Raw genomic sequence first — 16,749 nt, forward strand, 5'->3', positions numbered from 1 at the left:
TAGTAATTGTGTTTTTTTATTTTAAGAGGTCACCAGAAATTGTTAGTATGATAATTAGGGAGTTTGCACTAGAATAGTAAATGTTCTATCTAATATGACTTTCATAACTCAGTATGATACATCAAAAAATAAAAAATAAAAAAAAATAAATAGGCCGGGCGTGGTGGCTCACGCCTGTAATCCCAGCACTTTGGGAGGCCGAGGTGGGTGGATCACGAGGTCAGGAGATCGAGACCATCCTGGCTAGCACGGTGAAACCCCGTCTCTACTAAAAATACAAAAAATTAGCCGGGCGCGGTGGCGGGCGCCTGTAGTCCCAGCTACTCGGGAGGCTGAGGCAGGAGAATGGCGTGAACCCGGGAGGCGGAGCTTGCAGTGAGCCGAGATCGCGCCACTGCACTCCAGCCTGGGCGACAGAGCGAGACTACGTCTCAAAAAAAAAAAAAACTAAATTTAGTATAATAGTTGCTATTTTCTGACCATGTATTATATGCCAGGCACTGTGTTAGTTATTTTACATACATTGTTGATAATTCTCACAACAATCCTACATAATATGTATTACTATCCCCCTTTTATAAATGAAGAAACTGAAAGAGAAATTAAATACTCTGCCCAGTCACAGAACTGGCAAGTGAGATTGTAACGCATTTTACGTTTTGCTTTGAACTGCAATTTTCAAGCTCTCCTTGTGGCAAGAGAAACTCAAAAATAAAAATAAAACTGGCCGGGCGTGGTGGCTCACGCCTATAATCCCAGCACTTTGGGAGGCCGAGGCAGGTGGATAACGTGAGGTCAGGAGTTCGAGACCAGCTTGACCAACATGGAGAAACCCCGTCTCTACTAAAAATACAAAATTAGCTGGGTGTGGTGGTGCATGCCTGTAATCCCAGCTACTCGGGAGGCTGAGGCAGAAGGAGAATCGCTTGAATCCGGGAAGCAGAGGTTGTGGTGAGCTGATATCGCACCATTGCACTCCAGCCTGGGCAACAAGAGTGAAACTCCGTCTAAAAAATAAACAAATAATAAAAACAGTTCAGTAGTTAGAGTAACCAGGAATATTCATGGAGTAATTTAAAGGTGCAGAAAGCTATCAGGTACCAAAACAGCTATTTTTATTGGCCTAATATTGTGTTTGTGCTTCACATCATCAAATAATCTTTTGGGTTGGATCTAGTATTTTAAATAGAAGGCCTTGTTAAAGCAGAATATGAGTTTGTGAAGGCACACATTGTTTGTCTCCAGATTAATTCAATGTGTTAGCGAAGTGTCCTGGAGCAGGATCTCGTGTCAATCCATGGGACAACTATCCTTAAAAGGGTGCTGGGCCACTTTTACCTATATGCCTAGGGAACTTTTGCTTGTGGAAAACATGACCTACTCCCATAGGCTGTTGTCACCTTAAATAATACTTTATTTTAGGGATGGAAGAGATTTGGGGTATCCTTTTCATTTGGACTCATATGCATATGCGTAACCTTACAATCTGGTATGTTACAGGATACCATTGCAGTTTTCTACCGAGCCCACTATGTAATATTCAAAATTATACCTGAATGTCCTTAGAGAAAATGTGATAACCTGGGAAAAATGTGTAATAATAACCTGCTGAACCTTTTAATAATGACTTGCCACAAGTAAAATATTCTCATTTACACCTATACCTATCTAATCTACCTGGTTTACATCCTTCTCTGCGAAACAGCTAGTAAACTAGTGATTAATCTTCCTCTTTATTCTACAACATCTTTCAGACCAAAGGCCAAATTTTATATTTTAGCAGGTTTCATTTTATTGATATATTATTACTCACTTTTTCAAAATTGAATCATTGCTGTACTGAGAAATACCAAAAAGTATAATATGATCCCTGCCTTCCCTTACCCAACAATTTCCTGGGTTGGCCTTGTCTCCTCCATGCCTATCCAGGAAATTGTTGCATTCAAGTAAGATGACATGTAAGGGCCCAAGTAAGTGGTAAATTACATGCTCAATATGTGTTTGAAGAGCCAAAGAAGACTTCAGTTGAGGAAATGATGTTGAACAGGGTCTCGAAAAGATGTATGAGACATCAATAGAAAAAGTGAAGAGAGGCAGGGCACGGTGGCTCACGCCTGTAATTCCAGCACTTTGGGAGGCCAAGGTAGGTGGATCAGGAGGTCAGGAGTTTGAGACCAGCCTGACCAACATGGTGAAACCCTATCTCTACTAAAAGTACAAAAATTAGTCAGGCATGGTGGCACGTGCCTGTAATCCCAGCTACTCAGGAGGCTGAGGCAGGAGAATCGCTTGAACCTGGGAGGTGGAGATTGCAGTGAGCCAAGATGGTGCCATTGCACTCCAGCCTGGGCAACAGAACGAGACTCCATCTCAAAAAAAAAAAAAAAAAAAGAAAGAAAAGAAAATAAAAGAAAAAAAAAAGTGAAGACAATATTTGAAGTGACCAGAAGTAAGGGAGGACATGGACTGGAAATAAAACAGACAAAGTGGATCCAAACAGATAGTATAATTTTTGAAAGCCAGATCCAAGTGTTTGGGCTGCTGTCATAGACAGTAGGGAGAACAAAGTTTCTGAGGAAGGAAGAAGCTTGATAGAAGCAATGTGACGAGGTTTGGACTGACAAGTATGCAGGATAGATTAGAAGGGGAGGGATTGCACTGGGGACATGAGAGAAACTACAAATAAAATGCAATTTCCATTGTGACCAGTAAGTCCTATTTTCAAGGAGCATCAGAAAAATTTTTTTGAACATCTAATGTGTGGCAAATACTATTCTAGGAGATAAACAGCCCTGCTCTCAAGTTGCTCACAGTAGATTTGGAGAAAATTATAGTACAAATTCAATTGTTATGGAAGTGAAAGCCCAGGATGTTGTGGGAGTACATGGCAAAGATACTTAATCCAGTCTTGCTGAATTGGGTAACTTTTTGATAACTATGATGACTGTCAAAATGTGAATAAGAATTAAGAGATGAGCAATGACTCTCTAAGCAGAGTTACAGTATCCACAAAGCCCTAGAAAGCTTGAGAGGGTAGAGTTTTTTCAGGGGGATGAGAGGACATTCAATGAGAGTAGGATATGAGATGTTATATGGAAGGATGGAGAGAGATGACTACACACACAGCTATTACAGAGGGTTAGCATGCTGTTCTTAGAGTTTGAACTTAACCTAGAAGTCATGGAAGAATTTAAACAATGGGGTTTCAAAATAGGTAACTCAGTTGGTAGTATATAGGATGAATTGAGAGGAAGGGAGAAACATAGAAATACATATACCTGGCCGGGCCTGGTGGCTCACACCTGTAATCCTAGCACTTTGGGAGGCCAAGGCAGGAAGATTGCTTAAGGCCAAGAGTTCAACACCAACCTGGCCAACAAAGCAAGACCCTGTCTCTATTAAAAAATAAATAAAAAAGAAAGAAATACATAGAACGGTATGGTGCTGGTGAGAGATAATGAAAGCCTTAAACCAAGGTAGAGTCAGTGATGGCAGAGAAGAGGGAGCAGATTGGGTCTGGGTTAAAGAGAATCAGTAGGACCCAGTGAACCATTAAGATGAGCATTGGAGAGAGAAAGACTGTTAACTTCAGGGTTCTAATTTGGAAAGGGAGGTTAATGAAAAATCTCAGGGAATGTGCAGCTGACAAAGGGTCCTGCCTTTATAAGTTTTAAAAATAGAAAAATTTTTATATATTGTCTTGTTATTATATCATGTGTTCAAATTTTTGGTTCCGAAAATATAGGTAGACAACTTTCACCTATGGTCTCTGCAGAAATGCTTCAAGAATTGAGCCTTCCCTGGGTAAGTCACTCAGAAATTCAGTTCAATCTTTTTAAATGAATGTGTTATGAGACCAACTTGTTGCACACAGCATTTGTACTAGGAAATTTTGATGAAGTGGCCCTGTGCCTGTACTGTAAAATGAGCATGGAAGCTGGGTGCGGTGGCTCACGCCTGTAATCCCAGCACTTTGGGAGGCCGAGGTGGGCGGATCACCTGAGGTTGGGAGTTTGCGACCAGACTGACCAACATGGAGAAACCCCGTCTCTACTAAAAATACAAAATTAGCCGGGCGTGGTGGCGCATGCCTGTAATCCCAGCTACTCGGGAGGCTGAGGCAGGAGAATCACTTGAACCTGCAAGGCAGAGGTTGCAGTGAGCCAAGATCGCGCCACTGCAACCTCTTGTACTCCAGCCTGGGCAACAAGAGCAAAAACTCCATCTCAGAAAAAAAAAAAAAAATGAGTATGAAGAGCAGCCTTAAAAGGAAAAATGTGTCCTGAAATGGTGGGTGCTGGAAAGATGGAGAGGGGGTTCTATCAATTGTAGATATGTGATCTTCCAAGGACAGCTCCCTTCTCTTGCCCAGTGCTTCCCTTTCCCATCAAGTCCTCAACTAGCTAACTTTCCAACCCTGGAGCTGTTCCATTCCTGTCTACTTACTTAGAAAAGGTGACAAAACCTCAAAACTATTTCCTATTCAAGGAAACAAGCATCCCTTATTTGTATGTATGTTTAATTTTTTTTTTTTTTTTTTTTTTTTTTGAGACAGAGTCTTGTTCTGTCGCCCAGGCTGGAAGGCAGTGGCGCCATCCTCCCGAGTAGCTAGGACTACAGGCATCCGCCACCATGCCTGGCTATTTTTTTTTTTTTTTTTTTTTGTATTTTTAGTAGAGATGGGGTTTCACCGTGTTAGCCAAAATGGTCTCGATCTCCTGATCTCGTGATCCTCCCACCTCGGCCTCCCAAAGTGCTGGGATTACAGCCGTGAGCCACTGCGCCCGGCCTATTTAAGTTTTTTTTGAAATTGTGATAAATGGGACAGATAAAAGGGAAGTTTTCCTTTGTTACCAACTTTTTCAATGATGATTGAACTAATCAATCGTTTATATAAAATGTCATGGAAAATATGCTTAAATTCCTAAGGAAAAAAATATTTAAGGAAATGCATTATTCTCTTTATATGTCATGCGGAACTTCAGAACTACTATTTTTTTTAAATAAACATTTTATTGGCCAGGCGCAGTGGCTCACGCCTGTAATCCCAGCATTTTGGGAGGCCGAGGCAAGTGGATCACCTGAGGTCAGAAGTTTGAGACTAGCCTGGCCAACACATAGTGAAACCCCATTTCTGCTGAAAATACAAAAATTAACCGGGTATAGTGGCATGCGCCTGTATTCCCAGCTACTTGTGAGGCTGAGGCAGGAGAATCGCTTAAACCCGGGAGGCAGAGGTTGCAGTGAGCCAAGATAGCGCCACTGCACTCCAGCCTGGGCGACAGAGCAAGACCTTGTCCCCCCCCCCAAAAAAAAGAAAGAAAGAAAAGAAAAGAAAGAAAGAAAAGAAAAGAAAGAAAGAAAAAGAAAAAAAAATTTTTTTTAGTAAATTGGCTTATCCGTGACACTTGGTGATGCCATCTAGAAGTCACACCTCACTTTTAGAAAAGTAAAATTTTTTTTATAAAGTAAGTAAAAACTACTACATCTCCTTGTCTTAACTTCCACTACTCTTTCTTAGCTGAGTTTCAAAACCCCACTGTAACCTTGGTCTTCCTTTTTTTATATAGTTTCTCCCTTCTCCAAGCAATTTTATACTTTGCTGCAAGTCATCTTTCTCAATGCTCTTACCAGCACACCGGGTTCAACCTACTCAACCTCAAATTCCAAGTTTCCTACCATATAGTAGCCATGTACCTTCCCAAACGTATCTTACTCTATCTCTACTTCACACTTTATTAAGCTGCTTATATATTTCCTTACTAAATTGTCAGCCTTTTGCATCAGGGAGGGAGTCTTAACAGTTTTTTCTGTTCCTGAAGTACCAATATATAATTTAATGCTATTATGATACCAAAATAGTCTTTTTATTTTAAAGTGCATTCTCATTTAACCTCTATTAACCAGGCTTCTTAGTCCATCTGAGTCACTCAATGTGCTGGAAAGTAATTTAACTGCAGGCAATTTATTTAGTTATTCTGTGAGATTTGTGCACATCTTTCAGGTTAAAAAGGACAAAATAATAAGCACTGAGGGAATATATGAATGTGCAATATATACAGAGAACTTTAAATGAGTACCAGTATTACCTGCATTCAACACCATGGTTTCAGAAAGAGTGAAGGTAAGTTTGAAAAATAGGTCTTTCTTCAATGCTTTTACTTTTTTGTTTTTTGCTACAGTGTTTCTATTCCTTACTTTTTCAATTATGTTAATAAAACACTAAAATCACCATTTCTCTGGTGCTCAGGGGCAAGTCTCTGCACCACCTTGACCACTAGGTGGCTCTCTCGTTTCATGTTCTAGTAACTGGGGGCCTCTTCATTCTTTTCAAAGGATAGGTATCTCTGTTGTAGAATTTGGTTCATAACATTTTCTTTTCTTTTTCTTTTTCTTTTCCTTTTTTTTTTTTTTTTTTTTTTTTTTGAGGCAGAGTCTAGCTCTGTCACCCAGGCTGGAGTGCAGTGGCACCATCTCGGCTCACTGCAACCTCTCTGCCTCCCTGTGGCTCAAGCAATTCTGCCTCAGCCTCCTCAGTAGCTGGGACTGCAGGTGTGCGCCACCACACCTGGCTAATTTTTGTATTTGTATTTTTTTTTTCATTTTTCAAGACAGTGTCTCACTCTGTTGCCCAGGCTGGAGTGCAGTGGCACGATCTCAGCTCCCAGGACCTGCAACCTCCACCTCCCAGGTTCAAGTGATTTTTTGTGCCTCAGCCTTCCGAGTAGCTTGGGTTACAGGCGTGCACCACCATGCCCAGCTAATTTTTGTATTTTTAGTAGAGATGGGGTTTCACCATTTTGGCCAGGCTGGTCTCAGACCTGACCTCAGTTGATCTGCCCACTTCAGCCTCCCAAGGTACTGGGATTATAGGCGTGAGCCACCATGCCCAGTCAACATTTTCTTACTGATTATGAATACTTAGTAGGACAGGCTCTGTAAACACCATTTAAAGAGTCCAGTGCTTTCCATGGGCTGAGAAGGTTTGGGCTTGGCAGAAAGCCTACTGGTAACTCCTCTCCAGGACAATGCAAATACCAAAGCCAGGCCTGAATAAGCATGACTCTGCTACCTTATGACTTCACTTTCGTCCCACAGTAAAATATAATTTATAATTTCTGAGACATCAGAAGAGGTGTCTGTATAGTCATTCAGACATTTTCATGGAACCCTAACATTTGCCAGGATTCTATCAAAGTTTAGCAGAGTTCCATGAAAGCCTTTTATGTGCAAAGTTAGGCTTTAGGGTTTTAAAAAACCATTATTGACTTTGGCTTTCTTTTTGGTTTTTTGTTTTTTGGAGGGGTCAGGGTCTCATTCTGTCACTCAGGCTGGAGTGCAGTGGTGTGGTCACAGCTCACTGCAGCCTTGACCACCTGGGCTCAAGCAATCCTTCTGCGTCATCCTCCCAAGTAGCTGGGACTATAGGTGCATGCCACTGAAAGTTGTGAAGCCAGCTGGGCTTCTGTGTCGCTTGGAGAACTTTTGTGTCTAGCTAAAGGATTGTAAATGCACCAATCAGTACTCTGTAAAAACGCACCAATCAGCACTCTCTAAAATGGACCAATCAACACTCTGTAAAATGAACCAGTCAGCACTCTGTAAAATGGACCAATCAGCACTCTGTAAAATGGACCAATCAGCAGGATGTGGGGAGGGCCAAATAAGGGAATAAAAGCTGGCCACCTGCGCCAGCAGCGGCAACCCACTCCAGTGTCCTTCCACCCTGTGGAGTGTCTCTTGTTTTGCTCTTGGCAATAAATTGTGCTGCTGCTCACTCTTTGGGTCCGCACTACCTTTATGAGCTGTGATACTCACTGCTTCATGCCTGCAGTCAGCAAGACCGCAAACCCACTGGAAGGAGCAAACAACTCTGGAGGCACCGCCTTAGGAGCTGTAACACCCACTGCTAGGGTCTGTGGCCTCACTCCTGAAGTCAGTGAGATCACGAACCCACCAGAGGCAAAAAACTCCGGACACATCTGAACATCTGAGGGAACAAACTCCGGACACCATCTGTAAGAGCTGTGACACTCAGCGCGAGGATCTGCGGCTTCATTCTTGAAATCAGCGAGACCAAGGACCCACCAGAAGGAACCAATTCCGGACACACCACCACACCCATCTTATTATTGTTTTTATTTGGTAGAGTTGGGGGTCCCACTCTGTTGCTCAAGCTGGTCTCAAACTCCTGGGCTCAAGTGATCCTCCCACCTCATCCTCCCAAACTGCTGGGATTACAGGATCAGTGAGCCACCAACCTCAGACAACTCTGGCTTTCTTGATACTTAATTTTTTAAATAGGTTTAGTCAGTACAGGTGCTATTTTGCTACACGAATATATTACATAGTGGTGAAGACTGGGCTTTTAATGTACCCATTGCCCAAATAGTGTACATTATACCTATTAAGTAATTATTCATCAGTTACCCTCTTCCCACCCAATGTCTATTATTCCACTTTCTGTGTCCATGTGTACACATTATTTAGCTTCTACCCAGAAGTGAGAGCATGCTGTATCTGACTTTCTGTCTCTGAGTTATTTCACCTAAGATAATGACCTAGTCTAGTTGCATCCATGTTGCTACAAAAGATAAGATTTCATTTTTATTTATGGCTGAGTAGTAGTCCATGGATTCCATATCTTTGTTATTATGAATAGTGCTGAGATAAACATACAAGTGAAGATATCTATTGGTATAATTTTTTTTCTTTTAGGTAGATACCAAGTAGTGAGATTGTTGAGTTGAATGGTAGTTCTATTTTTAGTTCTTTGAGAAGTCTCCATATTGTTTTCCATAGAAGTTGTACTAGTATACATTTCCACCAACAGCGTATAAGTGTTCCTATTCTCCACATCATCACCAACATCTGTTGGTTTTTTATTTTTCAATAATAGCTATTCTGACTGGTGACACATTGTGTTTGTTTTTTTTGTTTTTTGTTTTTTTTTTAATGGAGATGGGATTCTTGCTGTGTTGCCCAGGCTGGTCTTGAACTCCTGGTCTCAAGCAATCCTCCCACCTCATCCTCCCAAAGTGCCAGTATGATCATTGTAGTTTTAATGTGCATTTCTCTGATAATTAGTATTCTTGATTATTTTTCATGTTAGTCACATGTATGTCTTCTTTTGAAAAATGCTGATGGATGTGGTGGCTCATGCCTGTAATCCCAGCACTTTGGGAGGCTGAAGCAGAAAGATCACTTGAAGTCAGGAGTTCAAGACCAGCCTGGCCAACATGGTGAAACCTCCTCTACTAAAAACGCAAAAATTAGCCGGCGTGGCAGCAGGCGCCTGTAATCACAACTGCTTGGGGGGCTGAGGCAAGAGAATCACTTGAACCTGGGAAGCGGAGATTGCAGTGAGGCGCTGAGTTGGTGCCACTGCACTCCAGTCTGGGTGACAGAAGGAGACCCTATCTGAAAGGAAAGAGAGAGAGGGAGAGGGGAAGAAAAGAGGGAAAGAGAAAGGGAGGAAGGAAGGAAGGAGAGAGAAAGAAATAGGGAGGAAGGGAGGGAAAGAGGAAGAGAGGGAAGGAGGGAGGAAGGAAGGGGGGAGAGAGAGAAGGAAGGAAGGAAAGAAGGATGGAAGGAAGGAAAAGAAAGATGCCTGTTCATTTCCTTTCCCAACTTTCTAATGGGGCTATTTGTTGATGATGTTTTTTTTTTCTGGATGAGTTGTTTGAATGCCTTGTAGATTCTGGATATCCACCCTTTGTCAGATGTATAGTTTGCAAATATTTTCTCCCATTCTGTAGGTTGTCTCTCTCTCTCTTCCACTCCCCTCCTCCCTCCCCTCCCCTCTCCTCTCTTCTTTTCTTCTCTTTTCTGACGGGGTCTTGCTTTGTTGTCCAGGCTGGAATTTAGTGGTGTGATCATGGCTCACTGCAACGTTGACCTCCCTAGGGCTCAAGTTATCCTCCCACCTCAGCTTCCCAAGTAGCTGGAACTGTAGCCATGTGCCACCACATCCAGCTAATCTTTTAATTTTTTTGTAGAGACAGAGTCCCACTGTATTGCCCGGGCTTGTCTTGAACTCCTAGGCTCAAGTGATCCTCCCTACTCAGGTTCCCAAAGTGCTGGGATTACAGACGTGAGCCACTGCACCTGGCCAATTATTTACTTTGTTGTGCAGAAGCTTTTTAGTTTAATTAGGCCCCATTTGTCTACGTTTATTTTTGTTGCATTTGCTTTTGAGCAAATAAATTTCAAAATTCTTTGCTTAGGCCAATGTCTAAAAGAGTTTTTTCTTGAGAACGGGCCAGGATGACAATGGCGGCCTTGTGGAATAGAAAGGCGGGAAAGGCGGGGAAAAGATTGAGAAATCAGATGGTTGCCGTGTCTGTGTAGAAGGAAGTAGACATGGGAGACTTTTCATTTTGTTCTGCACTAAGAAAAATTCCTCTGTCTTGGGATCCTGTTGATCTGTGACCTTACCCCCAACCCTGTGCTCTCTGAAACATGTGCTGTGTCCACTCAGGGTTAAATGGATTAAGGGCGGTGCAAGATGTGCTTTGTTAAACAGATGCTTGAAGGCAGCATGCTCGTTAAGAGTCATCACCAATCCCTAATCTCAAGTAATCAGGGACACAAACACTGCGGAAGGCCGCAGGGTCCTCTTCCTAGGAAAACCAGAGACCTTTGTTCACTTGTTTATCTGCTGACCTTCCCTCCACTATTGTCCCATGACCCTGCCAAATCCCCCTCTGTGAGAAACACCTAAGAATTATCAATAAAAAAAAAATTAAAAAAAAAAAAATAAAAAAAAATAAAAATAAAAAAATAAAAACACACCTCACCAAGCTCAGCCACCAAAAAAAAAAAAAAAAAAAAAAAAAAAGAGTTTTTTCTAGGTTTTCTTCCAGGATTTTTATAATTTCAGGTCTTACATTTAAGGATTTAATCCATCTTGAGTTAATTTTTATTAACTCAAGACAGGGATCCAGTTTCATTCTTCTGCATATGGCAATCCAATTTTGCCAGCACTATTTATTGAATAAGGTATCTTTTTCCCAGTTTATATTTCTATGAACTTTGTTGAAGATCATTTGGCTGTAGGTGTGTGGCTTTGTTTCTATGTTTTCTATTCTGTTTCATTAATCTAAGTGTCTGTTTTTACATCAATACTATACTGTTTTGGTGACTCTATCTTGTAGTATAATTTGGAGTCAGGTAAGGTGATGCCTCCAGCTTTGTTATTTTGGCTTATGATTGCTTTGGCTAGTCCAGCTGTTTTTTGATTCCATATGAACTTTAGGATTGCTTTTTCTAATTCTGTGAAAAATGACATTGGTAATTTGATAGGAATTGCTTTGAATCTGTAGATTGCTTTGGGTAGTATGGTCATCTTAATGATACTGATTCTTTCAATCCATGAGCATGGGATGTTTCTCCATTTGTTTACTCTACAATTTCTTTCATCAGTGTTTTATAGTTCTCCTTGTATAGATGTTTCAACTCCTTGGTTAAATGTATTCCCAGGTGTTTTATTCTTCTTTTAACTATTATAAGTAGGATTGAGTTCTTTATTTGGTTCTCAGCTTGAGCATTATTGGTATATAGAAATGCTACTGATTTTGGTACATTAGTTCATATCCTGAAACTTTACTAAAGTCATTAATCAAACCCAGGAGTCTTTTGGAGGATTCTTTAGGGTGTTTTAGATAAAAGACCAAATCATCAGCGAACAGATATAATTTTAATTTGGATGCCTTTTATTTCTTCCTCTTGTCTGATTGCTCTAACTAGGACTTCCAGTACTATATTGAATAGGAATGGTGAAAGTGGGCATCCTTGTCTTGTTCCAGTTCTTAAGGGAATGCTTTCAACTTTTCCCCATTCAGTATGATGTTGTCTGTGGGTTTGTCATACATGAGTTTTATTATTTTGAGGTAGTTTGTTTGAGGGTTTTTACCAGGAAGGGATGCTGAATTTTATCAAATGCGTTTTCTGCCATCATTCGAGAGGGTCATATGGTTTTTTGTTTTTAATTCTGTTTACATGTTGAATCATACTTACTGATTTGTGTATGTTGAACCATCCTTGCATCCCTAGAATAAAACCTAGTTATTGTGTTGTATTATCTTTTCAATGTGATGTTGGATTTAGTTTGTTAGTATTTTGGTGAGGATTTTTACATCTGTGTTCATCAAGAATATTGGCAGGTAGGCTCGGTGCGGTGGCTCATGCCTGTAATCCCAGCACTTTGGGAGGCCAAGGCAGGCGGATCACCTGAGGTCAGGAGTTCATGACCAGCCTGGCCAACATGGTGAAACCCCGTCTCTACTAAAAATACAGCAATTAGCTGGGCGTGGTCATGGGTGCCTGCAGTGCAGATACTCAGGAGGCTGAGGCAGGAGAATCGCTTGAACCCAGGAGGCAGAGGTTGCAGTGAGCCAAGATTGAGCCACTGCACTCCAGCCTGGGCGACAGAGCAAGACTCCATCTCTCTCTCTCTCTCTCTATATATATATATATGTATGTGTGTGTGTGTGTGTGTATACATGTACGTGTGTGTGTATGTATATGTATGTGTGTGTATATGTATGTGTATATACGTATGTGTATATATATGTATATGTATATATATATGCATTAGTTTTTCCTTTTTTGTTGTGTCCTGCTGGCCTTTTGTATCACAGTGTTACTAGCTTTGTAGAATGAGTTAGACAGGATGCCCTTCTCCCCGATTTTTTGGAACAGTTTCAGTAGGAGTAGAAGAACTGGTACCAGTTCTTCTTTGTAAGTCTGATAAAATTAGGCTGTAAATCCATCTGGTCCTAGGCCTTTTTTGTTGGGAGATTTTTTAATTACTGTTTCAATTTCATGGCTCATTATTGGTCTGTTCAGGATTTTCTATTTCTTCCTGGCTCATTCTTTGAGAGGTTGTATGTTTCCAGGTATTTATCCATTTCTTCTAGATTTTCTAGTTTGTGCACATATAGATAATCATAGTAGTCTCTGATGATCTTTTTTATTTTGGTGGTATCAGTTGTAATATCACCTTTATCATTTCTTACTGTGCTTATATGAATCTTCTTTGTTACTTGGATAATCCAGCTAACAGTCTATCAATTTGTTTATATTTTCAAAGAATCTTTTCATTTCATTGATCCATTGTTGTTGTTGGTTTTTGAGACAGGGTCTTGCTTTGTCACCCAGGCTGGAATGCAGTGGCGCAGTATGGCTCACTGCAACCTCACCCTCCCAGGCTCAAGCCATCCTTCCACCTCTGCCTCCTGAATAGCTGGTATTACAGGCACATGCCATCACGCCTGGCTAATTTTTGTATTTTTTGAAGAGACAGGGTTTCATCATCTTGCCCAGGCTGGTCTCAAACTCCTGGGCTCAAGCAATCCTTCTGCCTTGGCCTCCCAAAGTGCTGGGATTACAGGCATGAGCCACTGCACTGAGCCTGTATTGGTTTTTGTTTGTTTGTTTTTTGTTTTGTTTTTGCCTCAATATCATTTAGTTCTGCTGTGATCTTTGTTATTTTTCTTTCTTTCTTCCTTTTTTTTTTTTTTGGAGACAGAGTTTCTCTCTTGTTGCCCAGGCTGGAGTGCAGTGGTGCGATCTCGGCTCACTGCAATCTCCACCTCCCGGATTCAAGTGATTCTCCTGCGTCAGCCTCCCAAGTAGCTGGGATTACAGGCACCTGCCACCACGCCCTACTAATTTTTGTATTTTTAGTAGAGATGGGGTTTCACCATGTTGGCCAGGCTGGTCTCAAACTCCTGACCTCAGGTGATCCACCTGCCTCAGCCTCCCAAAGTGCTGGGATTACAGGCGTGAGCCACCGCACCTGGCTGATCTTTGTTATTTCTCTTTTTTCTGATAGCTTTGGGTTTGGTTTGTTCTTGTTTTTCTAGTTCCTTCAGGTGCGACATTAGGTGGTTAATTTGAGATCTTTCTATCTTTTTGATGTAAGCATTTAATGCTATAAAATTCCCTCTTCTAACTGCTTTTGCTGTATCTCAGAGATTCTGGTATGTTGTGTCTCTGCTTTCATTCATTCCAAATATTTTTTAAATTTCTAGGCTAAGCACAGTAGCTCACAACTGTAATCCCAGCACTTTGGGAGGTGAAAGTGGGAGGATTACTTGGGGCCAGAAGTTTAAGACCTGCTTGGGCAACATATCAAGACTCCATCTCTATTAAAAAATTAAAAAAAAAATTTGGGCCAGGCGCGGTGGCTCACACCTGTAATCCCAGCACTTTGGGAAGCCAAGGCGGGCAGATCACAAAGTCAGGAGTTCAAGACCAGCCTGGCCAATATGGTGAAACCCTGTCTCTACTAAAAATATAAAAATTAGTTGACCTTGGTGGCGCATACCTGTAATCCCAGCTACTTGGGAGACTGAGGCAGGAGAATCGCTTGAACCCGGGAGGCAGAGGTTGCAGTGAGCTGAGATCATGCCACTGCACTCCAGCCTGGGTGACAGAGTGAGACTCTGTCTCAAAAAAGAAAAAAAAAAATTAGCCAGGCACTGTGGCATGTGCCTGTAGTCCCAGATACTTGGGAAGCTGAGGCAGGAGGATTGCTTGAGCCTAGGAATTTGAGGCTATAATAAACTATGGTCATGCCATTACACTTCAGCATGGGTGACAGAGTGAGACCTTGTTTCAAGAAGAAGAAGAGGAAAAAGAAAAATGTTTAAAAATTTCTATCTTAATTTTATCATTTACCCAAAGATCATTCAGGAACAGGCTGTTACATTTCCACGTATTTATATAGTTTTGAGAGTCCTTCTTGGCATTGATCTCTAGTTTTATTCCACCATGGTCTGAGAAAATATTTGATATGATTTTGATTTTTCAAAATATGTTGAGACTTGCTTATTGGCCAAGGATATGGTCTATTTTGGGGAATGTTCCATGAACAGATGAGAAGAATGTATATTCTGCCATTTTGGGTAGAATGTTCTGTAAACATCTGTGGGGTTCATTTGGCCTAGAGTTCAATTTAAATCGAATTTATTTGTTGATTTTCTGTCTTGGTGATCTGTCTAGTGCTATAAGTGAAATGTTGAAGTCCCCCTACTATTGTACTGTTGTATTGTTGTCTATCTCTTTTCTTAGGTCTAGTAGTATTTGTTTTATGAATCTGAGTGGACCAGTGTTGAGTGCATATATATTTAGGATTGTTGTATCTTCTTGTTGAAATCTTTGTCATTATATAATGACCTCTTTTGCCTTTTTTTTTTAACTGTTGTTGATTTAAAGTACGTTTTATCTGATACAAGTATAGCTACTCTTACTCACTTTTGGTTTCCATTTGTGTGGAATTTCTTTTTCCACTCCTTTAAGTCTGTAAATGATGACTACTCATTAGGTGGATTTCTTTTTTTTTTTTTTTATTTGAGACAGAGTCTTGCTCTGTCCCCCAGGCTGGAGTGCAGTGGCGCTATCTCGGCTCACTGCAAGCTCCGCCTCCTGGGTTCCCGCCATTCTCCTGCCTCAACCTCCCTAGTAGCTGGGACTACAGGCGCCCGCCACCGTGCCCAGCTAATTTTTTGTATTTTTAGTAGAGACGGGTTTTCACCGTGTTAGCCAGGATTGTCTCAATCTCTTGACCTCGTGATCTGCCCGCCTCGGCCTCCCAAAGTGCTGGGATTACAGGCGTGAGCCACTGCACCCGGCCCTTGGTGGATTTCTTGTGAGCAGCATATAATTGGATCTTGTTGTTGTTATTTTTATTTATTTATCTATTTTTTGAGATGAAGTCTCACTGTGTTGCTGAGGCTGGAGTGCAATGGCATAATCTTGGCTCACTGCAACCTCCGCCTCCTGGGTTCAAGTGATTCTCCTATCTCAGCCTTCCAAGTAGCTGGGGTTACAGGTGTGTGCCACCATGCCTGGCTAATTTTTTTGTATTTTTAGTAGAGACAGAGTTTGACCATGTTGGCCAGGCTGGTCTCAAACTCCTGACCTCAGATGATCCACCCACCTCAGCCTCCCAAAGTGTGGGGATTACAGGTGTGAGCCACCACACCTGGCCTGTTGTTTTTTTAAAATCCATTCTGCCAGCCTATATATTTTAAGTAGAGCATTTAGTCGATTTACATGCAAGGTTAATATTGATATGTGAGGTTTTATTTCTGTCATAATGTTAATTATTACCTAGTTGCTTTGTAGTCTCAATTGTGTAATAGCTTTATAAGATCTGTGAGTTTTGTACTTTTGTGTGCTTTTATGGTGGCAAGTATCGTCCTTTCATTTCTATGTTCAGAACTACTTTGATCATTCCTTGTAGGTCTGGTCTAGTGGCAACAAATTCCCTTTATGTTTGCTTTTCTGGGAAAGACTTTATTTCTCCTTCATTTATGAAACTTAGCTTAGCAGGATACAATATCTTGGCTGGCAGGTTTTTTTCCTTAAGAAGACTGAAAATAGGACCCTACTCTCTTCTGGCTTGTAAGATTTCTGCTATGAAGTACTTTATAGGTGATTAGATGCTTCTCTCTTGCTGCTTTTAAAATTTTTTTCCTTCCTAGTGACTTTGGATAGTCTGATGGCAATATGACTAGTTGAGATTTGTCTTGCAAAGTTCAACAAGGCATGTTGTTCTCTGAGCTTTCTTTAACCTCTCAGTCTTTCTTTATGTCTAAGTCTCTAGCAAGACTGGGGAAATTTTCCTGAATTATTTCCTCAAATAGGTTTTAAAAGATTTTTACAGCTGGGTGTGCTGGCTGACACCTGTAATCCCAGCACTTTGGGAGGCCAAGGTGGGTGGATCACCTACACACCCTG

The 16,749-nt window shown here is 41.2% G+C and overlaps 1 annotated feature.

The window, feature by feature from the left end:
• Positions 8,954 to 9,858: an enhancer, noted in NCBI's record as "H3K27ac-H3K4me1 hESC enhancer chr2:203441426-203442330 (GRCh37/hg19 assembly coordinates)". NCBI's record gives its function as "activates a minimal SCP1, AML or CMV promoter by ChIP-STARR-seq in primed H9 embryonic stem cells {active_cell/tissue: H9 hESC(primed)}" and the evidence as "EXISTENCE:reporter gene assay evidence [ECO:0000049][PMID:30033119]".

This window comes from Homo sapiens, chromosome 2, assembly GCF_000001405.40.
Source record: "Homo sapiens chromosome 2, GRCh38.p14 Primary Assembly".
Lineage (NCBI taxonomy): Eukaryota > Metazoa > Chordata > Mammalia > Primates > Hominidae > Homo > Homo sapiens.